At 37.0% G+C, this 24,722-nt stretch overlaps 1 protein-coding gene across 5 annotated transcripts in view, besides 4 other annotated features; it reads right to left on the bottom strand.

Annotated features, from left to right (window-relative positions):
- MTX2 (metaxin 2) overlaps window positions 1-22,813 on the bottom strand; it is a 68,584-nt gene extending 45,771 nt beyond the window's left edge. For 3 of the 5 annotated variants that reach the window (NM_006554.5, NM_001319098.2, NM_001319097.2), the window contains exon 1: window positions 22,586-22,813. In NM_006554.5, the coding sequence (NP_006545.1) occupies window positions 22,586-22,625 (40 nt within the window). In that variant the 5' untranslated portion in view covers window positions 22,626-22,813. Of the gene's footprint in view, window positions 1-21,835; window positions 22,042-22,585 lie in introns of those variants that run through there. The other 2 variants (NM_001006635.3, XM_047442985.1) reach the window with 2 other exon arrangements.
- Window positions 91-240: an enhancer, noted in NCBI's record as "active region_16789". NCBI's record gives its function as "activates an Ori minimal core promoter by ATAC-STARR-seq in GM12878 lymphoblastoid cells {active_cell/tissue: GM12878}" and the evidence as "EXISTENCE:reporter gene assay evidence [ECO:0000049][PMID:35858748]".
- Window positions 21,919-22,544: an enhancer, noted in NCBI's record as "H3K27ac hESC enhancer chr2:177134439-177135064 (GRCh37/hg19 assembly coordinates)". NCBI's record gives its function as "activates a minimal SCP1, AML or CMV promoter by ChIP-STARR-seq in naive H9 embryonic stem cells {active_cell/tissue: H9 hESC(naive)}" and the evidence as "EXISTENCE:reporter gene assay evidence [ECO:0000049][PMID:30033119]".
- Window positions 22,545-23,172: an enhancer, noted in NCBI's record as "H3K27ac hESC enhancer chr2:177133811-177134438 (GRCh37/hg19 assembly coordinates)". NCBI's record gives its function as "activates a minimal SCP1, AML or CMV promoter by ChIP-STARR-seq in naive H9 embryonic stem cells {active_cell/tissue: H9 hESC(naive)}" and the evidence as "EXISTENCE:reporter gene assay evidence [ECO:0000049][PMID:30033119]".
- Window positions 22,877-22,966: a silencer, noted in NCBI's record as "silent region_12135". NCBI's record gives its function as "represses an Ori minimal core promoter by ATAC-STARR-seq in GM12878 lymphoblastoid cells {active_cell/tissue: GM12878}" and the evidence as "EXISTENCE:reporter gene assay evidence [ECO:0000049][PMID:35858748]".

The following is a 24,722-nucleotide window of genomic DNA, read 5'->3' as shown; positions in this document are numbered from 1 at the left end:
ACCTACTCTACCTATTTTCAGTTTCTATCACCCTGGTGTGAAGTGCCATTTTAAACACACCTAAAGGAAGGGACAGCCTTAGAATAAACACAGAAGGTGAGACTGAAAGTTTCTAAAAAAGGGGTTGGTAAGAAATGGAGGCTGAGGAAGAAAGTTGTCCAATGCTGTCAAAGTGCAAGTTACTGGTATTCTCACCACATCAAAAGTAAATTTTATGCTTAAGACACATCAATAGTTATGTGTGGTTCTTGGAATAAAGACCAAAATCCTCAACATGGCCTACAGGGCTCTACTTAGCCTTTCAAGTTACCCTCTCTATCAGCCTACCTCATCACACACACATCCCTAACCTTGACTCTCTGCACTCCAGCCCCACTGGCCTTCATCCAGTTTCTGAATGCACCACTCTCCCCACTGCAGTTTCTTCTGCCTGGAACAATTTTATCCTCCTATGGTATTGTCACATCTCAGCTCAAAAATTACTTCCTCAGGTACAGCCAGGTTCACGAGCGTGTAACCTGTGCAGTTGCATAAGGTCTGCACTTGGAAGGGCCCCCTGCTTGGTTTAATGTTCTGCTGTCTCAGTCTTGAAAGTGGATAATATTTTAACACTTTCATGTTGCACTGGGCCTTAAAAATTATGTAGCCAGTTCTATCCACAGGGAAGTTTTCGCTGACCTCCTTGAATAGTTCAAACACTCCTTTTACAAGCTCTTACAGCATGCACTCCCCGTCTGTATTTTTACATTTAAGTATTTGTTTATCTTCTCCATGAGAAAATACGCACCATCAATCCAGCATTCACGTCTGATTTTTGCTTACCATTTCATCCCTAGAACCTAGCACATAGCAGGTAATCAGTAAATGTTGCTGAATAAACATCTGTTTTCATTATTAGCACTATCATCATTGTTGTTATTACTCTGTACTATTCAGGCTAAGAATGTAGCAGGGAAGATAAGAAAAATTCATGGCAAAACATAAAAAATAAAATAAACTTTACTCAAACAACTTCAACACTATAACCAACAACACAACTCAAAAAAATACTAAATAGCTGCCTAAAATTCCTGGAATTTGAATTTTATCTTTTTTAACTCTACTTTCTTTTTTAGTGTATGTTTTATAATGTGCATGATATATCGGCTCAGCAATTAACAACTTTATGATTTCTAAATTCAGGCCTGCATGCTCAAATTTTTATTGATAAGGACATGAGATTTTCATAAATGGTGATTCTTGGGTTAGAGTCATAGGAAATGGAAAGGGGAAGAGTGAGACTGTTTGTCAGATAAGCTGAACTGAGGAGTGATACAGCAGTAACATCTGATGTAAACTATATATTTAATATAAAACATTGTATAGAAAGAGATTTCCAGTTTTAGTGTTAGTGCAAAGGTAAGAAATATATAGTTAATTTATGTTTTTCTTCCTGTATTTCAAAGGGTTGTCTTGCACACATATTACATGTAAAGCATGACATGAGAGGAAAAAAAAAAAAAAAAACTAGTTATTCCCTAGGAGTGCCCAAAGTTGAAATCCTAAACTGGGCAATGAATCTACAAATCAACCATGTAGGTATCATTCTAGGAAATGAGCTCTATAACTGTCTTCATATGTAAATCTATGAATCATGAGAATTATTATCCACACCTTATAAAAAGCTGATCTCTTGGTTTGGGAAAAGACAAAATCCAAAAGGACAACTTCTTCTCTACTCTTCTCTTTCCCAAGGTCAGACAAAGTCAGTAATCACCCCTTGCTCCTACATACATCTCATCCCACATTGGAGAATGCCGTTCTAATTAAATAACTACTTATTTGAAGTTTTTGCAGGAAACCCAGTCATTCATGTACTCTAGAGCAAGGAAGAGTCTTGCTCTCTTCTGATAAAATCATCCTTTTTGACCAAGGAGAAAGCTTGCGGGGGGAACACACATGAATTAGTGAGGAGAATGGGGATCCCTGCCTACTACCTCCCTAACATGACCCTTGTATCAACCAGAGTACTTCAAATTTCCCCCACAAACTTCATACTTTCTCATCTTTGTGACTTTGCTCAAATTGTTCCCCTTAAGTTCAGAATACTCCTTCACTGCCATATACCCAAATCCTATACCTTTCTCAACCAAGTTTAAATGCCACATCCATCAAAAAGGCTTTTAGGACTAAGCAAATCTAATTTCTCCTTTATCTATACTGTCCATAGCAGTCTGCATTTTTCTTATATATCATTTTCTACTCTATCATATTGTTATGTCAATATCTTATTTCTCTTTCTAGTAGGTAAATTCCTAGAATGTGAAAAATTCCTTGTGGTCCCAAGGTTATTAAAAACTTGGCTTCTCAATTACTCCAAACTGAAGATGACATCTACAATAATACATGCCAAAATATGAAATTTAAATTAACCAAGATTAAATTTTATATAGGCATCATTTAAGCTAATATCTTCATTATAAGAGTTCTAAATTAAACTACCCACCTTTTAGAAATTAATTATTTCATGATAAAGAAATTCCTGTACCACTTTCATACCAAAGCAATAACTTACTCTAAGGTACTCCTAGTGACCTACATTAATTCACCCTTTAAAATTAGAATTACTATTCTAATAGTATTCTCTAACAAAAGATGCAATAAATTTTTATCATTTTTATAAAGAAGAAATATATCCCTATACTGCAGATAAAAAGAATACCTAGAAATAAAGCAAATATCAAAGCACCTCATAACTAAGTGCATATCCAATTAGTTATTAAAAGTCCAGTTAGTTCTTTACCTACTTCCCAATTTTGCCCAGGCCCTGATTATTCTATATTTAGTGTCTTCTTTACCAGGAGCAAAAGAGATGCTGCTTAAGGTTTCAGGCTTTAGTGGGAGAGTTTTTTTTATGCAAATGAATATTTCTCAAAGAAACTCATAAGTATTTACATTGGAGAACAAAGTAAAATCAAAAAGAAGTGACACATATTCTTGAACTTCTGAAAGCCATAAAATAAATAATGCATAAATGTTAGAAATGCACACATGATAAAGCAACACCCGTGACCCAAAAAAATAAGTATTTGCTTCTCATTCATTTTAATTATCTTTAAGTTACCTATTTTTAAGCTTTATCAACCAATACAAAAAAAACAATATTCTTACTATTAATCCATTATCATTTTTAATGAAATGACTGCTAACCAATAAATTCACATAAGTATACCCGTAAGTCTCTTAAAGACTTTATATATTACTTGTAGTATTCTCTTAAATATTAGGTTAGGATTATGTATCTATTTATTCCATTCAAATCAACGTATTTCAAAGTATGAAAGTGCTATGACCTAAAAAAAATTAGTCTAATTCTGAGGTCCATCTCTCGATGATCTAATATAAGAGGATTAAGAGAAGGGCCATGAAAAGAGATGCCCTCTGTTGTTTGTTTCTTTAAGTTCTGCCTTCTTGATGTACAACATGACTCCTCTGCCACATGAATGTAGGTGAAGACATAATTTCCAGAATAATAGGCACTAATATTACATGCTGCTTCAGTTCTGTCATATTTCCAATCCATCAAATTGATTAATGCTATAATAACTCTACACAAACCTATCATTTGTGCACTAATGAAGTCAAACTCAGTTTATCCTTAGGCAACTAGATTCCAAAAGCTCATAGATGTCATCTCTTCAGCACAGCAAGACTATTTAGACAGTGTTATATAAAAGGAGCAAGAAACATGGGTAGCCTATCTCCAAATTTGGATGGCTTCCTGCCAAAGTTGTAAATGCAAATACTGCTAATATAACAAAATGTTCAAAGAGCATTCGGCAGCTCTTAAACATGGACAAGTTACTGCAAGACACACAAAGAAAGGAAGGAAATTTGTTAATTTGACATAAATATTATACTAATGATATCAGTGATAACATAGACACCATACTCAAAACCCATCAAGTTTTAGGCAATATATGAAGGTTTCATTTAAAATAGATTTTTAAGATGTTTAGACTTAAAATATGATGATATGGGACTTTATCAAAACTGAAATTTTAAGGGCTATATATTAAATTCGAAAGCAATTCAACCTGCAAACTATAGTGCAAGTCAAAAATAACACTATATAATGATGGTCATGAAATTATTAAATAGTAATGCCCCTTAGCTAGTGTTTCATAGGGAATGTTTAATGATACGATACAGGATGTGTAAGCAGAAGTGACTCTTCCCACAAAAGGTGTTTAAAACCATTTTCCCATTACCTTAATAGTCAGAGATCAGTGTTTATGTAAGAAAATGGCTTGTGTTGGAGAACAGGGAAGTGCAGCGTCATATTGCCATTTCCATAAACGTTAAAAAAAAAAAAAAAGCAGTCAGTATTGCATAGCACAGTGGTAAGGCTACTTAAAAAACACATTTGCAAGCAGGTGTAGATACAAAGATATAGACTACCTTCAATTAAAATAGAAATCCTGAAGCAGAAAGCAAACATTCTAGGACAAAATAGAGAAGTATTAGACACAAATACAAAAGAAGTCCTAGATTCTAGAAGATTCTTCTAGAAGAAGATTCAGACCAGAACTATTCCTTTGGCTACACATCATCACAAGTTTTTAGGAAAAAGAAACTTGTTGACTGACATAAGAGTCTACTGTATATCCATTATTGCTTGTTACATACAGGTTGAGTATCCCTTATCCAAAATTCCTGACACGAGAAGTGTTTCAATTTTGGATTTTTCTCATAGTTTGGAATATCTGCATTATATACTTACCAGTTAAGCAACCCTAACCCAAAAATCAAACATCCAAAACACTTCAATGAGCATTTCCTTTGAGCATCATGTTGGCACTCAAAAAGTTTTGGATTTTGGAGCATTTTCAGATTTTGGACTTTCAAATTGGGGATACTCAGTGTATATAAATATGTATAGTAAATTATACATACATCTTACTTCAGAAAGTAAATTTAGCCACAGCTACAAATCAGTTTTATCGTTCATTCAATAAATACATTGAATGCATATAAAGTGTCAGGCACCATTCTAAGAGCTAAAGGCACAATTATAAAGAAAACCAAGTAACTGCCCATAAGGCACTTCTATTTTAGAGGTATCATGTGGCCTATCTCCTTATGTGTACCTTTACAATGTCTGAAGTTAAAAACACTGAAGTCTACCTCATTATGACAATATTATCTGGTATACATATAACAAGGCTTAATTCTGTTTGGGCTACACATTACACAAAAAACAAGAAAAAAACATACACGACAGTGTATAATCTCTAAAACACCAAATGAATTCCAATTTACTGAACTACGGCAAATAACTCAAATAATATTCCACAAATAACTATCTCCAGCAACCCATTCATTTGGAACAAGGTAGTAAGCAAAAGATTAAAATGACCCAGAGTGGGTCGGGCATGGTGGCTCACGCCTGTAATCCCAGCACTTTGGGAGGCTGAGGTGGGTGGATCACCTGAGGTCAGGAGTTCGAGACCAGCCTGGCCAACATGGTGAAACCTCATCTCTACTAAAAATACAAAATTAGCCGGGCATGGTGGTGCATACCTGTAATCCCAGCTACTTGGGAGGCTGAGGCAGGAGAATCGCTTGAACCTGGGAGACGGAGGTTGCAGTGAGCTGAGATCATGCCACTGCACTCCAGCCTGGGCAACCAGAGCGAAACTCCATCTCAGAAAAAAAAAAAAAAGACTCAGAGTGAGTAATAATGAATGAATGAGGACAGTAGAATACCCAAGGCAGATGGGTCTTAATACCCTGCCATTCTAGAAGCACAAGATGGAAAGCAACAAAGATTGAAAACACAGAAAAAGGAAGGCAGAACTTCCCTCTCACAACCAAAGCTGGAGCCCAAATAAAACTAGAGAATAACTAGAATCTATCTCCTGGTCAAATACAAACTAGACTTCTATTTAGGCAGATGATGATTATGATAACGACAGCAATTAAGATTCCGCAAAACTCATACAGCATATATCCAAAATATGTTAGAAACTCTTACAACCCTATAATAAAAAGACAACATAACCCAATTTTTAAAATTGAGCAAGGAATGTGAATAGCCATTTTTCCAAAGGAGATATACAAATGGCCAAAAAGCACATGAAAAGATACTCAGCATCATTAGTCATTAGGGAAATGCAAACCAAAACCACCATGAGATGCCACTTCACACCCAATAAGAAGGTCATAATCAACAAGACAGACAATAACAAATGTTTAGCAAATGTGGAGAAATCAAAAATTCTCACACGTTGCTGATGGGACCATGAAATGTTTGGCAATTTCTCAAAATGTTAAACACAGAATTTTACCATATGACCCATCAATTACACTCCTATGTATTCACCCAGGGGAAATAAAAATAAATATCCAAATAAAGACTTATATACAAATGTTCATAGCAGCATTATTCACAATAGTCAAAAAGGAAAGCAACCCAGATGTTCATTAACTGGTGAATGGACAGACATAATGCAGCATATCCATATGATGGAATACTATTTGGCAATAAGAAAGAACCAAGTTAAGTACTGATACATGCTACAACATGAATACATGGATGACCCTCAAAAAGCATTATGCCCAATAAAAAAAAAAAAGCCAGACACAAAAGAAAACATATGATTCCATTTATATGACATGTCCAGATGAGGCAAATCTACAGAAACAGAGTAGACCAGTGGTTGACTCAGGCTGGTGGTGGGAATGAGGAGTGGCTGTAAATGGGCAAGGAGTTTCTTTTGGAGGTGATGGAAACCTACTGTTAGACTGTGGTAACTGCAGAGATGAGTGGAAAACTAAAAAAAAAAAAAAAAAAAGATTGTGGCAATAGTCACACAATTATGTAAATATACTAAAAATCACTGAATTATAAATCTAAAAGGGTTTGTAAATTATATCTCAAGAAAGCTGAACAGAAAATCTTAAAAGACTTATTGCACTTACTGTACATGTAAGTGCTTGACATATATTAAACATCCCACAACTTTATGAGGTAGACACTATTATTATTTTCCCAATTTTACAATAAGAAAACTGAGGCACAAGCTAAGTAATTTGTTCAAAGTCACAATGCTAGTAAGTGACAGCAGCCAGGATTTGAACCCAAGTAGTGTTGCTCTACAGTCAGTGAACACACAACTAAATTAGCTAACCTCCTGCAGAGCTCACAAATAAACATTCTTGGGTAGTAATTATTAGAATTAAAGCAATTATAATTATCTTACAACAGTAGTTCTCAACTCTTCCTGTACACTTGAGGAACTTGATAAAGTTATGTATTTCCTAAACTCAGGAGTTCTGATACTGTAGAGATGAGGACCAAAAATCTGCACCTTTAACAAGCAATCCTGGTAAATCTGATGCAGATGGTCTGTGAACACCACAACAAAGACCATCCTAGAGACACAGATGGCACTTGAGATAAGATTATGTTCTTTTTATCTTTCATTCATTTAGCTCAGAGAAAATGGTAGTAAGGATGTGTGTAGATTAATTTTTTTCAAGAAGATTTTTGACCATCTTTTTCTCCTTAAGCATTGTGGCTATGGCTTAAAGCCATGTTTTAAAACATGCCTTAGTAACATGTTGCTATTTTATAATGTTCAAGAATAAGCCTTTAAGATTAATGAACTCAGGCCACATTTATTTTGCAATCAAAGTGGTAACATGATAGTTTTTCCATTAGAAGTATTCGATAAGGAAAGTAAAAATAAGTTAGTAATTATGAATATCAGTTGTGATATCTATCTGTGACTAGAGATCAATTTCAAAATGGTATTCAAGGACCAATTTCGTAAACCTGACAAACTTCTAGAGGTTAACAAGGGTCAAGAAAACAAATTCACAGCACCAACAAGCCAATAACTCAGGTAAAGTAAATAAATATAAGTCAAATTTAAAACTTTCCATTCTTCCTTAATAAGTATGTATGTGTCATGTTCTCAAATGGTTATGTTTAGACTTTGATCCATTATAAAAATAATCCATCATAGCTGGACATGGTGGTGTGCACCTGTAGTCCCAGCTACTTGGGAGGCTGAAGCAGAAGGATCCCTTGAGCCCAGAAGTTTGAGGCACGCCTGGGCAACATAACAAGACCCCATCACAAAAAGAAAAGGAAAAAAAAAAGAAAAAAATCCATTATTTTTCATTAATTTCCAATAAAAAGCAGGCCAACTACATATGATAATGATAAATTAACAGAAGAGTCTTGTAATTGTTACTCAAACTTTTTTCATTTTTAAAATGGTAATCTGAAATTTAAAAAAAAAAGAAGCACTGATACTATGAGTTTTTCTCAGAACTAAAAATGAATATGAGATCAACAGCAGAACTATAGAAAAACAGCTGGTTAAGAGTAAAAGTCTAATCCATCTGGCCAAAAAACAGATACAAAAACAGCCCCACACAACTGTGAGACCTCAACAACATTAACCTTCACAGTGCAATAGTTTAATGGTTCTCTAAATCTAACTCTAGAGACAGAAAACAAATATCCTTCAAACTAAGTAGTTCTTCCCATCTAAACCAAATACAATCACTGTAATGTCAGCACCTATGTTTTTAAGTATCTACTATGTGATTATGGTTCCAGGTACTGTACATATACTTTGCTATCTCATATCAAGCTAGCTAACCAAAAAACTCTATTCCTCTTCCTTCACTCCTCCCAGCTAGTTATAGAACAAATTATCCCCCACAGAGAATCTGACTTATTATTATACCACCTGAAATGCTGACAAAACTGCAAGATTCTCCAAGAAGAAGGAAACAGGAAATGAGGTAACGGTCAAGAATTTCCTTAAGAGTATGAGAACACAGTAGAAAATGCTCAGAGGATTCCCCCTAAAAAATATTAAAGGCATTTAAATGAACAAATAGGTGATAAACATCCAAAATGTACCCACAACTATAATACAAAGATGAATATAAAACTGTCATTGCCCTCTAGGATCTAATTTTGTTGAGCAGGTGAAGAACAAAAAGGGAGGTGGGATTAGGGGTGACTAAGGTAAACATAACCATTTAAAATACATTAAGCAAATACAGGTGGTGTAGGGAAAAAGCATACATTTCAGAGTCACACATACCTGGCTTCCCCTCCCAATTCTACAACTTATTGTGTGAGTTATGTTGGCCAAACTGGTTAACCTATTCTTGTCTCAATTACCTCACTGTAAAAGAGGGAAATATTAATTATCTTGTTGGGTTATTGGAAGAATAAAACTAGATTGGCCAGGTGTGATTGCTCACGCCTGTAATCCCAGCACTTTGGGAGGCCAAGTTGGGCAGATCACCAGGTCAGCAGTTCGAGACCAGCCTGACCAACATGGTGAAACCCTGTCTCTATCAAAAATACAAAAATTAGCCAGGTGTGGTGGTGCATGCCTGTAATCCCAGCTACTCAGGAGGCTAAGGCAGGACAATCGCATGAACCCAGGAGATGGAGGTTGCAGTGAGCTGAGATCGTGCGACTGCACTCTAGCCTGGGCAACAGAGCAAGACTCCATCTCAAAAAAAAAAACAAAAAAAAAAAAGTAGATAAACTAAGTACCCTATAAAGTCTCTAGCTCACAGTATATTTTCAATCAATAATTCTTAATATACACATTAGAACAAAAGTGTGTATAAAGCCCTATAGAAATATTCATGAAGAAATAACTAAATCTGCCTGAGGAAAACAGGAAAGAATTCACAAAAGGAGATGAAATCTGAATTGGATCCAAAAAAATAATCCAAAGCATGCCAGATAGAAGGTAGGAGGCATGGAGACGAGTTTAGATATTTACCAAAAACCTAACATCCCTAATGCAGTTTGAGGAAACGGAGGCAAAATGTTCAGCAAAGGCTTACTAAACTAGATGCCTCTGTGCAGATTTCTACTATAGATATAGCTCTTCATATTAAAATGATCTATTTCTGCAAAAGAATATAAGCTCATGAAAGGCAAGAATTGTTACTTATTTTTGTACCCCCAGCACCTGGCAGAGCACCTAGCACAAATTAGGTACTCAACAAACATTCTGCAGAAAATACAAGCAGGTCTTTTGCTATCTAAAGCCTGAAAGATATCTGACAGCAAAAAAAAAAAAAAAAAAAAAAAAAAAACTACTGTAACTCTAAAAATAATATCATTGAACCAATTTAAGGAAGGATAACATCTCAACAATGGGTACCAAATTCAACAGTGTAAACTCAAGAATTCACTTTCTCTCCGAATCATTCAGTGGTTCCTAATCAAAGACACACAGACAAATGATCTACAGAGTATTTGAAAACTATACTTGTCTTATCTCCATCCTCAATCTTTCCATATGATAGGCCTTTGGTGAGAATAAAGGAGTATTTGTATATGCATGCATGTTCGAGCAGGCATCACTAGCTTTAGAGAGTTCCATAGATAACTAATTACAACGTACAAAACCACCCGCACTACTCTACTCACCCCCAACTCCCCATCTATCCCCATCCTTCTTTAGAACCTCTATTCAGTCATGTGTGTGCCTTCTCGGTTCCCAGATCTAAGAAAAACAGGCAGTACCACCTTGGTTATTGTGGCAAAGTATATGTCTTAAATACGTCCACAACAGTAATTCCTACCCTACAATTCCCCTTCCCTTGAATCTGGGCTGGCACTGTGACCCACAGAATATTGTGGAAGTGATGCTGCAGGACAATTGAGAGTAGATTATAAAAGATGATGCAAATTCTATCTTGCTAGCTCAGGCACTTGTATGTGGTGCACTGAGTCACTACATAAAAAGTCTGACTACCCTCAGGCCACCAAGCTGTGAGGAAGCCAAGCCACATGAAGAAGCCACATGTAAGTATTCCAGAGAACAACCCCAGCCAAAGTCCTAGCCAGAATCAACTGTCAGAGATACAAGTGAAGATGCTTCCAGAGGTTTCCAACCCTGAACCACTGGATCATTCCCAGCCTTTGAGTCTTTTCAGCTTAAGACCCAGACATCATGAGTGAGAGACAAACCATCTTTCCTGTGCTGTATACAGCACCCTATACATAAGTAACCCTATCTTAGAAAAAGACCCCACCTTACATTTAAAAAGGCATCATGCCAACAGGGACCACATGTTCATCTAATCAACAGAGACTACACGTACCAACCAGACAAAGACATAACCAGACACACTTTTTACTATCAGTCCTCACCAGAAGATGTGAGGGCTATAAAAGGAGCAGAACTCCACCAACTCAAGATGGCCATCTTAATAGACACTGTCTGGCAGTCACTCATGATCAGCACCCAGCATTTGCTGCCAAATGCTCTGCCCAAATCAAGAACTCTTCCTTGCAAGACACTGACAACTGTCTGGATCAGCCCAGGACACTATCCTTGTCCATGACGCTCTCCTTAGACTGGTTCATTACCTCTTTTCCTGTCCCCTTTTCTCTTGATGTTAAATGTTACTGTGTGATGTGGAAATTTTAATCTATAACATTTATATATTAAGTATACTGCTACGTGCGGTTTGCAACATTGACTGACTTGTGGATTGGCTTAGTCTATGTGCCACAGCTCTGACTACTGAGTGAACAGGTAGTACTAAGGAGAATTGCCTCCTTAAGGAACTCGATGTTGCTTATTGCTTTTATGACTGAATAAGCACCAACAGAAGTCTGACCTTGTGGAAAGACACAAATGTGTGTGGATATGGTTATATCTCACCTTGTGCCACTCACAACATGTGCCCTGTGTGGATTACTGACCCACAGGATTCATAAACATAAGAAAGTGGCTGTTTTACACCTGTAAATTTAGGGTGGTTTGTTACACTGCAAAAGTAACTTGCCAGTTAAGACTTTTGATAGTTACTATTAATCACACAAAATGTTGACTCATCTGAAGCCTCAGAATTCCGTTTATCTAAATCGGTTACCAAGCTGACTCCTGACCATATTACGTTTATAAATTCCCTTTACTGCTTCAGACATAGATTTTGACACTTGCACTTTCCCTACAGTTTCACTTTATTAATCCAATATCTTGAATCTTTGCCTTCCTGAAATCTCACTATATCTCCAATTTGCTGACCACATCACCCTGACTCCCTGGCCTCTAGTCCCCAGGATTTGGTACCCAGTGACTAGAATGGCTTACATCCATCTTTAAAAACTGACCTAAATGGCAGTTGCTACATTATTCACAGATTGAGGAAACAAAAGAGAATCCAAGAGAGAAACAACTCTAGCTAAAGTCAAATCTAACTATATCTTTTCATAAAAGTCAAACCAATAGTCATTTACCTATGATACAAAGATAATCTAAAACAGTAAATAATGAAAGCATAGTTTATATTTGTCTATAATCTGCACTCTGTAATTTCTCACACATTAGCACCGTTTCTAAATATTTATTTTAATATTAAAATTATTTTATATTCTCCAAACAGCCACCAAATGCTAGTATGAGAAAATCAGTGCACGTAGATGGCAAAAAGGAGAAAACTGTTTAGGGAGAAAATACATCAAAAATAATTCACAATCTCAATGTAAGAACAAATGTCAATTATCACTTAAATAGTTAACATTATGTAACTAGTTCTCCTGGACTAGCCAACTTAGAATCTTAAATCGATGAACAGTAATAACAGTAATAGTAAAAATAACAATGATAGCATCTAACAAAAAACTAGATAGCAACTTTTATTTTTATGGTATTTCTCATAAAGACATAATCTTTTTTTAAATTTATAAAATAAGAAAGAAACATTACTTATAATTCATAATGCCAAAACATTTTTCTATAACATAAAAGCTAACAATCAAAAGAAATGGAGGTCAAAAGAAGGCTAGTTCATTGAGTCAGCTGCCAATATTACTTTACAGAAATAAACACTGGAATAATAATGGCCTCTTCATGTTATACAAATGACACAATTTATTCATATAAAGTTCTGATTAGTGCTCTAAATTGACCAGGTAATAAAATATGATGTGGGGGTAAATACCATTGTAATACTCAAAGATACTGTATCCACTGTAATAAATATACACATCAAAAGTCTATTTTTTTCCATCTAAAGACAGATCAAGTTATGAAGAAATTCTTTGGCTTATACAAGTTCTTAGAGATAAAATATATGATCAGCAAAAAAACATAGCTAAGTGTATAAAAACAGTGAAATGCATTTTATGGTTTCTATTTTGCCAACACAGTTACAGTTAACGAGAATTGTCATGACAAAATGATTGCTTTTATGAAAAGAACCTTCTTTATTACCAACCAATCAAATTTCATTTTTATTACTGATGTAAAAAAGTTCAAAACCATAATTCATTTATAGAGCGTACAAAAATAAGAAAAGTGTTCAAGAATAGAGGAGAGGATCATTTACAAAGCAATAAAAAATTAAAGCATGCATCCCTTTTACTGGCAAGGCAAATACTTCTATATATGAATGTCTATAGCTGGATTTACTGAATATTATAACTTCTGTCTTTGAAAAAAAAATGAGAAGCCTGAATTTTCAATATCTCATCTCTATTTGATATCTTCAGTCCATCTGATAACTGCTTATCAAGAAACTTCAAAAATGTTTGAAAAATATTAAAAAGTTTGGTGGCGTTTTCTTTCAATTTTCACCAAAATATGGCAAGCTTGGGCTAACGTTAATAACTCAAAAGTCTTCAAAGAAATAAGACTGACAAATTTTATGGGGCACCCATCACCAAAATCTTTTAAGTTAAAAACTAAAAATCATGTAATTTCAGAGTATAAAATGTTAATAAACCACATTAAGTAAATTAAAACTCATATTACAGCCTATGAACTATTTCATTAGCAGAAAACAAGCCTCTGAAGGGATCTTATTATCAAAGTTTTCAAAAATTTACATAATATTGCTGTTAAGAATTTAGTTTTGGCCAGGTGCAGTGGCTCACACCTATAATCCCAGCACTTTGGGAGGCTGAGGCGGGCAGATCACATAAGGTCAGCAGTTCAAGACCAGCCTGGCCAACATGGTAAAACCCCGTCTTTACTGAAAATACAAAAATTAGCCAGGTGTGGTGGTGGGCACCTATAATCCCAGCTACTTGGGAGGCTGAGGCAGGAGAATCACTTGAACCTGGGAGGCAGAGGTTGCAGTGAGCTGAGATCACCCCACTGCACTCCAGCCTGGGCAACAGAGCAAGACTCCATCTCAAAAAAAAAAAAAAAAAAAAAAAAAAACCAGTTTCAACCTATTCAGCAATACAGTATAATAAAATACAGGATCCACTGCTGTCAATAAACTATATCTTGCCTCTAGTCTGAAGTATAACCTATTTTGTCACTATTTTGCTTTACCATCTGCACCATTCAATCTCAGCTTCGTATCTTCAAGGTCATAAGCACAACTGTGTAAGATTATTCATATGACTAATATGTTTTTTTTTTAATTCTCTTAAACGTGACGGTCGGTCCAATAACTTTTTAATAATTCCTCAGTGCCTTCCTCAATACTGGAAAATCCTCAGAATACTGAGTAAAAATAACAAAATATCTTTATTTTCAAGAGCAAAAGATTAAAGGCTGGGCACGGTGGCTCACGCCTGTAATCCCAGCACTTTGGGAGGCCGGGGTGGGCAGATCACCTGAGGTCGGGAGTTCGAGACCAGCCTGAACAATGTGGAGAAACCCGGTCTCTACTAAAAATACAAAATTAGCCAGGTGTGGTGGCACATGCCTGTAATCCCAGCTACTCAGGAGTCTGAGGCAGGAGAATCACTTGAACCCAGGAGGCGGAGGTTGCAGTGAGCCAAGATTGTACCACTGCACTCCAGCCTGGGCAACAAGAGCGCAACTCCATCTCAAAAAAGAGAAAAATGAATTTAATGCATTGTATTTCTTCAATTATCTGTTGCAACTGTCATCATTAAATATTCTGATACATGGATATACAAGCCTTTACCATCATTTTCTTCATTGTGAGCAATAGCATCACTTCTATATTACAAAAGCCTTTAAACCTTTATTTTCTACTTCCTTTAGCCTCTGGAACTCTTCTGAATGCTTTTCAAGTCCAGATTCCCCAGTACTCATGTGAGGAGGGATGGAATGAAAACACTTTATTACCAATATAAAAACAAATTTTTAAAAACATACCTGTTTTAATCACACTTTCAAGATGCGTACATATGGGTTCCATGGAACGCTGCAAAACTACTTTCCTAGCTCATACTATAAATTAATGCTACTGCTTAAATGAAGTTATTAATAAATTTAAATAATTAAGCACCCAAATGCCCACAACGAGATAAATGGAATATTCCGACCATTCTTTTTTCATCCTTTATATAGTTTACTGAGCTTCTAAATAAAGAACAGAACAGATATTGTTCTTATTTCAAAAGATTAATAAATTATAGTATGATGAAACTAACTGATGTGCTTAAAATATGGCAAGGCACCGGTGGAGTAATAAATCAGAAAAGATGGTATATGAGTAAAGAAAAGTAAGAATACTTTGGGCATTTTCTGCTGTCCAAAATGGTAATGGGATACTACATGTTAAGAGTTAATATCCTCAAAGGACCCCTTACTATAAGGTGAAAGGCTCTTGGGCAATAAAAGTAACAATAGAAACTAACATGTACTGAACATTTATTATCTACCACCCTATACTAGATACTTGACATACATTATAAATATATTATCCCCTTTTACAAATGAGGAAACTGAGGACTAGAAAGGCCTGCCAACAAGAAGCAGGGTTGAGCTTACTCCAGCTCTTACTCCAATGACCTTGTTCCTAACCTTTATACTGAGTTTCAGTATTCTTATCCACAAAATACCTAACAAGACCAAATTGTTATTATTAGCAATTACGTATATAAATCATTTAACACAGTAGCTCAAAAGCTTACTCTTATTATCAATAACCAGCTATGGCAATTCTAATTAACAGACCGCCAATATGACCTATACCAAGATTCAATTTTATAATGAAAATAAACATGGCTGGAGCATATCAAATGTATATATCTTGAAATAAACATCCTGGAATAACAAATTATTCTAGGATACATTACTAAGTAATTTTAATAACTGCAATAACTGTATGTAGATACTTCATATTATTGAATTAAATTATCTGTTATTTACAAATAAATTTTTAAAGCTTTACCAAAATTGTATCTTTAAAGTAACACATTATTATTTTCACCATTTTACAAATGAGAAATCTCAGGCTTAAAAAGGCAGTTAATTTGCCCAAGTTCACACAGCTAGGAAGTAGCTGAATAAGAACCCAGGTTAGACCTTTCACTTCAAAATCCATAGAAAGTGTAAAAGCAACGTGAAGGAAGCAATCAACACTGCAGCCAATTTCTGCTGTTTAGTGCTCAACACCTCTCTCCCTTCTTTTGTGTATCTGGTGGCACTGTGGAGCCCTAATACCTGGAGCCACTCCTGGCACAGGGATGGGCAAGTGAGTTAGGCCTGTCCACCCAAGTACTCTACCCTTTTGGCTGCTCCAAATGCCGTCATGTAGCCCAAATGGGATTACACAACCCTCCCCTATGATATATTCATAACCAACTGACTGGAAGAACAAAATTAAAAAAACAAAATGTGAGTAATGTATTGAAAAATCTCTCCATTAAAAAAAGTGAAAACAAATATACAGGTTATAAAATATTTTTAAACTATTTTTAATAATATCCAGGTCTATTTTTATCCTTTTAAAATTCTAGGCCGGGCACAGTGGCTCACACCTGTAATCTCAGCACTTTGGGAGGCTAAGGCAGGCAGAACACTTGAGGCCAGCAGTTCAAGACAAGCCTGGCCAACATGGTGAAATCCCATCTCTACTAAAAATATAAAAATTAGCTGGGCATGGGGGCAGACACCTGTAATCCCAGCTACTCAAGAGGCTGAGGCAGGAGAATAACTTGAACCTGGGAGGTGGAGGTTGCAGTGAGCCAAGGTTGTGCCACTGCCCTCCAGCCTGGGTGACAAGAGTAAAATGCCACCTCAAAAAAAAAAAAAATTCTAAATCCAGCACATCATCATCTAGAGAAACAACTATTCATTCAAAAGCATAACTTACCATTTCTTTCCATATTAAGCTAAAAGAACAGTTCAAAATTATCTTCCACTTTAAAAAATATATTCCAAAAAACTACTGAACAGATGCATAAATATGTTTACGTAAGCACTGCTTACAACAGACAAAAATCACACACACGTGTGATGGCTTTGGGACACATCAGCTTACCTACACTGAATACACTTGCCAAAATTCCCTTTCTACTATGTCTCTAAAGTGGGCTACAAGGGATATTCTCCGCCAGGTGTTGGGAAGAGAAGAGAGGCAACGTCATTTTGTAGCAGACACACACTTCCTCCTAGCTTTTCTAACCCTAATCTAGGTGCTGCCATAAAGAGATTCTGCTGATATAATTAAAGTCCCTACTTAGTTAGCTTTACATTAATCAAAAGGGAGAGTATCCTAAGTGGCCTGATTTTATCAGTTGAAAGCCCTTTAAAAAAGGGTCTAAGTCCTCCCTGGGATCAGACACTCCAGGTAGTACCTGGTCTTGCCAGTGCTTAGTCCTGGATCTCCCCCGGCTCCTGACTGCCCGCCTTGCATGCTTTGCACTTACTTTGCCAGCCTCCACATTAAGAGCCAATTCTTTGCCATGTGTTTGTGTATGCACATACATGCATGTGTGTGTGTGGCTCGAGAGAGAAATAGATATCCTGGTACTTCTGCTTCTCTGGTTGAACTGACTGATAACAACTCTCTAAATACCCATCCGAGTAATACTACTTAAGTAAATTTTGGCTTCTTCATTACAATGAAATACTACATAACCATTTTAAAATGATGATGTGTAATTCCATTCACAGACATGAAAAGAGATCCCAATATATGACAAAACAGGTTACAAAAAATTATGCATATTATATGTCGATTTTTTTAATTCAGGGAAAGAGAATGAAATAGCTTTGCTCATCAAAGTTTTAATGATGGATGGAATTTTAAAGTCTTAATCTGTGTGGTATGATTTCAGGTAATTTTTACTTTATCTCTGGATTGTTTTCATTTTCCATAATGGCAACATATCATTATCATTATCAGGAAAAAAAAACTAGACAACAAACCTTTCTCATTTGACAGGAAAAAAATGTCAGGTAGACTTACATTAAATGGTTAAAACGGTGCCCAGAGTCTTAAAGGATGAACAGGAGTTATTCAAGCAAAGTGCACATCTCAGGCAAGGGGCAAGGAAAGAAGTGACAAGACATGAGGCTGTCCTACTGACAATGAGAAACCAACAAAATGTTAAAACAAGAGGAGGTTTTTTTTTTTTTAAGGAAAATTAAAATAAAACAAAACAAACAAAAAACCCACTGAGGCTTGCAGTGTATGGACTCTACTGGAAGGAAGCCAGACTGGAAGCAGAGAAATCAATTCAGAGACTACTATGGTTATCTAAGCAAAAAATGACAAAGCTTTGAACTAAGGTAACAGCAGTAGAAATGGACAGAATAAGTCCTATTTAGGAACGATAACTGAGAAAAGTTGGCAAGGGAAATACTGGTAGTAAGGAGATAGAAGCAGTTCACTTAAACTGGGGAGTTCAGAGAAGACTTCTAAAAAGATATCCTTATGAATAAGGATCTCAAAGAAGTCACTTCAAGAATACCACAGAGAGATGCCAGATATCTTTAAATGTTTCCAAAAGAAATAATCAGTGTTAGCTCATGTCCACAGGAAGGAAAGGTAATAAGCAAAGTGTTGGATACACTAAAAATTAGAGCTCTCAACTACAAAAACAGATTCATAATTACTTAAGTTATAACAGATCTATATAGATACATAACTCCAACCTGTACTACCAGAAACAGAACACTGTGAATAGTTGCTGGATTTGAGTCACATTTATAAGTCATTTACAAGTCAAACACAGGGTTTCCGATAAATTATTACTTTAACCACTGCTATAGTCTGAATATCCCCTTCACAACTCATGCTGAAATGGAATTACCATTCTGACAGTATTAACAGGTGGGATTGTTAAGAGATGACTAGATCATGAGGGCTCCACCCTCATGAATGGATTCATCTCTTTATCCCAAGAGTAGGTTGTTGTAAAAGCAAGTTCAGCCCTCTCAGTCCCTGGCTCTTGCCCTCCCTGGCCTTTCCACCTTCTGCCACAGGATAATGCAGCACAAAGGCTCGCATCAGATACCGGCACCTTGAAGCTGGAGTTCGTTGCCTCCCAAAATGTGAGACTTGAATTTTTTTTCTTTGTAACTTACCTAGTCTGTGGTATTCTGTTATAGCAACACAAAACAGATTAAGGCAGCCTCCTGTTTTCACTTCTTGGCAAAACATAATCTTATAAATTTTAACAATTACAATCATTTAAATTACAAAAGTAAACTATGCTCACTATAGTAATTCAAACAATTCAGAAATATAGTTCCTCCACCCTCTACCAACAATCTATCTTTATTATCCCAATCGCTAGTTACAATTAGTTGAATATTCTTAACATATATAAACATATGTATGTTTATATAGATTTCATGAGTTCATACAAAATAGATATTATTTTATAACTTTTTACTTAATATAACCATAGCTTTCAAGACAACGTATTTAACAGATATACTTCTTCATTTTTGGATCTGTAAAAATGTGACCATACCATAATTTTTGTATAAATGTTTTTGACAAATAATAACTGTACATTTAGGAGGTACAACGTGATATTTTGAACTAAATAAATCAAAGAATAGAAAGAATAAATCAAGGTAATTAATATATCCATCACCGCACCAACTTAAATTTTTGTAAGAAAATTATAAATCTAAGCCTTTAGCAATTTTGAAATATATAATACATTATTATTAACTGTGGTCACCTTGCAGTGCAATAGATCACTAAAACTTTTTCTTCTAGTCTAACAAACTTTGTTCCCTTTGATCAACATCTCTTCTCCATTCCTCTTCCCCATCTCTCACCTCTGTCCCCCTCAGCCTCTGGTAACCACCTTTCTATTCTGTTTCTAGGAGATCAACTTTCTTAGATTTCCCCAAAAAGATTAGATTTTAGATCACTACTTGTCTTTCTATGTCTAGCTTATTTCATTTAGCATAATGTCCTCCAGATCCATCCATTTTATCACAAATGATAGGGTTTCCTTCTTTTTTAAGGCTGAATAGTATTCCATTGTATCTTATATACATTTTCTTTATCCATTCATCCACTGATAAACACCTGGGTTGCTTCCATATCTTGGCTATTGTGAATACTGCTGCAATGAACATGGGACTGCACATACCTCTTAGACAATTTCAATTCCTTTGGATACATGCCCAGAAGTGGAATTGGTGGATTGGTGTACAATAATTTGACATATATTTAAAACATTTCTAGTTTTTCGCTATTACAAATAATGCTGCAATTAATATCATTGTGTATTTCTTTAAGTACTGGTCTTTACATTTCTATCAGATAAACCCCCATAAGTAGAATTTTCAGGCCAGAGAATGTCATTTTAATAAATATTGCTACATTACGTTCCCAAAAAGTAATACTAACTTACAGACCCAATAGTTTGAGAGTAACTTTTCCCCATGCCCTATTAGTACTAGAAATCATATTCACTTTTGTCCATCTGATGGCAGGGGTGGGAGGATGCTATACATTATTAGGGACAGAGAACATCTTTTCATCTGTTCACTGTCCATCTATATTTCACCCTTTTGTGAAATGCCTGTTCCAATCCTTTGTCCTTGATTCTGTTGGTTTGTCTTCTTATTTGTACTAACTTGAGATGTCTTTTATCAAAGTTTTAAAATTTTTTCGGCAATCAAATCTGCCAATTTCTTCTCTTATGGATTATGAATTCTTAAGTTTTGCTTAGGCCTCTTCTGCTATCCAAGGATTATTAAAATAATCTATGTTTTCCTCTAATTATTTTATTACAATTTTGTTGTTTTATATTTAGATCTTTAATCAATCTGGAATTTATTCATGTGGTGTAATGACTTAGTAGTTGTTCCAACACCATTTATTGAATTATCCATTTTTAAATGCTTCCTCCTAGAGTAACAGATCACTACAAATAGCTAAGACGGCAGACAGACAAAATGCCTAGAAATTTTTAAACGTCACTACTTAAAGCAGTATCCAAAGTTTATTAAAAGACATTCATCATTTTCTCATTAAAAGAAATCACATATTAGGACACATGCACACAGTGAACCACTCAACATACACTGTGAAGTTTTTTTTTTCAACATAGTAGCAAACTAAATTAAATCGCTGATCTAACTATATAAGCCTGATTTTGTTTCAACATAAATGGTAAAAGCAGAAATAATCATTGCTTGAAATCTCAAGATTAGTCATTGATTTGGGTCGCAAATATTTATTGAGCACCAACTGACTATGGATACAATGGGGAACAAAACAAGTTTGATCCCTACTTTCAGGAAGCTTGCAATCTAGTAGGAGCTTCTCTCCTCTAAAAAATAATGTTTTTAAGTGAAGAAGGAAAAAAAAGAAATGTACGTTCACACAAACGCAAAGCAGTGAAAAACATTCCGGCAAATTTTATGACACATTCTGTACTTCCCATTTCCAAAATACTATCTTATTACTTCAAATGTACCTATTTATTGTGGTGACTGTCTTCATTACTGTACTCATGTTGAAAACACTGCTAGGGAGTTATGACTAATTCCATTAGCCTCTATCTCAAAGTACCTATGTTTAGTCTCCTCACTTTCTCAACAATATTTAATTTCTTTCATTACAATAAATAAAAACCTCAATAAGAGAAATTACAAACCTATATACATCAGTCATGTTCAGTCCACCGACTCAAAAGTATTTCTTTAAAGTACATGCAGATTTAAAAATTTTCCATGAATCCGCGCGGGCGTGGTGGCGGGCGCCTGTAATCCCAACTACTCGGGAGGCTAAGGCAGGAGAATCGCTTGAACCCGGGAAGCGGAGGTTGCAGTGAGCCCAGGTTGTGCCACTGCACTCCAGCCTCGGTGACAAAAGAGAAACTCCGTCTCAACAAATAAATAAATAAATAACTCCTAGAGTCTTAGCAAATGGCACTACTGTGTCGCTGGGAGACGAAGCAAGAAGTCTGGTGTTCCCTCAACAATAGGTAACAACTGATTAGTGACAGTCACCTTAAACTTTTTGAGTACCAAGACCCAGAAACTGCCACCACTCTTAGACTGAAGCGTTCAGATGCTTGCCCCTGTGGTAACGCCCCCCACCTCAATCCCAATCCAAGGCCTCCCCCTCATACTCCAGCACCTCCCAACTGAATGGGGAGGTGGGACAAAGTACCGCCCAAGGGAAGGAGACGGGACTCCTGCTCCTGCGGGGTGACCTTGGCCAAGTGTCTCCTTCTCAGTTTTCCCATATGTGAGATAAGGTTGGTAGTCCGTGCCCGCCTCCACCATCCGGGCCGGGTTCAGCGTATAATGCCGCAAGGCTGGAGGAAAGCTCCAGCCCTGTACCCCACGCGGCTCCCCGAGACCGCGCCGCCACCTTCTGGGTCTGCGGCCAGCCGCGCTACCTGCAATCTGGGAGACGAAGGCTTCCGCCACTAGAGACATGTCGGCTGGGAGGCCCGGCGCCCGGGTGCCTGCCCCCCACGGGCCTCAGCGTCCTCCACCGCAAACCCGGAGGCTCTCGGCAGTTAACGAGCCTAGCCCCGCCAACGTTCAGACTCGCAAAGCCCACTCCAACAGCAGCGGCGGCTGCAGTGAGGCCCCCAAGGTTACCGCCAGGCCTGGCTAGGGACTTCCGGCGCAGCCGACAACGGCACTCGAGCGCTTCCGCCGGCCCCGCCCCCGCGCCGTCCTACGGGGCGCCGGCGCGGCTAGCTCCGTCCAGCCAATTCCAGGCTCTGCGCTGGGGGCCCGCAGGTGGAAGCGAAGTACCCGACTCGTCTCCCACCCAGGGGACTGGCAGGGGAATCTGGGAGATTTTTAGCGTCCTTTCTGTAAGCCAGAATTTTGTAACCGAGTAACATTTGTAAACGCCCACTGGATACCAGGCACTTATATACCTATATCTACACACACATATATACATATATACACACACACATACACACATATATAATATATACACGTATATATGTACACATGTACATATATACACATATATACATATATATACACATATATTCTATTTGACTTCGTCTTCTCAACAACCCATTAAAGTAATAATATTATCGCCATTTTACGGATAAGAATATAGGCTTAAGGAGTTTAAACTGCCTGCCCAGGCAGTCCTCCAAGGACCAGATTCAAGGCTGCATGAATTCCCTCTATTCCATTATATTGCTGGGTTGATTAGTCCGTGGATAGACATTAGTGTTTTTTGTTGTTGTTGTTTATTCAAACATGCTTGGCAGAAAGGAGGCTTGAGCAGCGCCTAAGCCAGAAGGTAATTTGTCCTTCAACTCCATACACCCGAAATGATGCTCAGCTTGGAGAATAAGATACTTTAGTTTCACACACTTCTCACCTTTCGGGGGTGAACGGGGCAGGAAGAGGAGAAACTAAATTCCCTGAGTAACTTTGTCTTAACCTAATAGCTTCTTAAATTACACAATTAAAGAAAAATCATATGCATTACAGATTGGTGGTATTACAAGTGGGACAGGCTTCAGAGCTGGTAACCCAAAGCCCCCTTCACTGATGAGAAACAAGTTCAGAGAGGTGAGGTAACTCATTTTAAATCACACAGTAAATCAAAAAGTCAGACAGCTTACTAGGTTTTTGCAGAGGAAACCTGTATTCTAAGAATTACTGTCCATGACATTTAGAAAGCTATATTTCCATTCTTTATATCCGTAGATCTCTATTACTGTTCATTCTGCCTCCTTAACTAGCGTGGTTGGTTTCCTAGAGCTGCCAGATTACCACAAACTGGTTGGCTAAACAACAGAAATTCATTCTCACAATTCTGGAGGCTAGAAGTCTGAAATCAAGGTGTCAGCAGGGCCATGCTGTCTTGCAAGGCTCCAGAGAAGGGGGTTGCCGGCAATCTTCCATGTACTTTGGCTTGTAGATACATCACTCCAATCTCTGCCACCACATCACACGGCATTCCCCCTGTGTGTCAATGTGTTCAAATTTCTCTCTTCTTGAGAAATAACACCAGTCATTGTGTTAGGGACCCCCACCCTAATCCAGCAGGACCTCATCTTAACATGATTTCTTTTCTTTTCTTTTCTTTTTTTTTTTTTTTTTTTTTGAGATGGAGTCTTGCTCTGTCACCTAGGCTGGAGTGCAGTGGCGTGATCTCGGCCCACTGCAACCTCCACCTTCCAGGTTCAAGCGATTCTCCTGCCTTGGCCTCCCAAATAGCTGAGATTACAGGTGCGTGCCACCATGCCCGGCTAATTTTTGTATTTTTAGTAGAGACCGGGTTTCACCATGTTGGCCAGGCTGGTCTCGAACTCCTGACCTCATGATCCGCCCGCCTTGGCTTCACAAAGTGCTGGAATTACAGGCGTGAGCCACTGTGCCCAGCCCCATAATTTTTTTAAGGTTAAGTCATATTTTCATCTCCCTCAGCAAAAGGAAGCTTCTTAAACAGCATTTAAATTTACCCAATAATTTACATTGACATAAACACAGCAGCGTCTTAGGAAGTAGTGTCTTCTCTATAGCTGAAATTCAGAGTTGACAAGCAGCTGT

Source organism: Homo sapiens, chromosome 2 (assembly GCF_000001405.40).
Source record: "Homo sapiens chromosome 2, GRCh38.p14 Primary Assembly".
In the NCBI taxonomy this organism is placed as follows: domain Eukaryota; kingdom Metazoa; phylum Chordata; class Mammalia; order Primates; family Hominidae; genus Homo; species Homo sapiens.
This window is presented reverse-complemented; position numbering and strand designations above follow the sequence as displayed.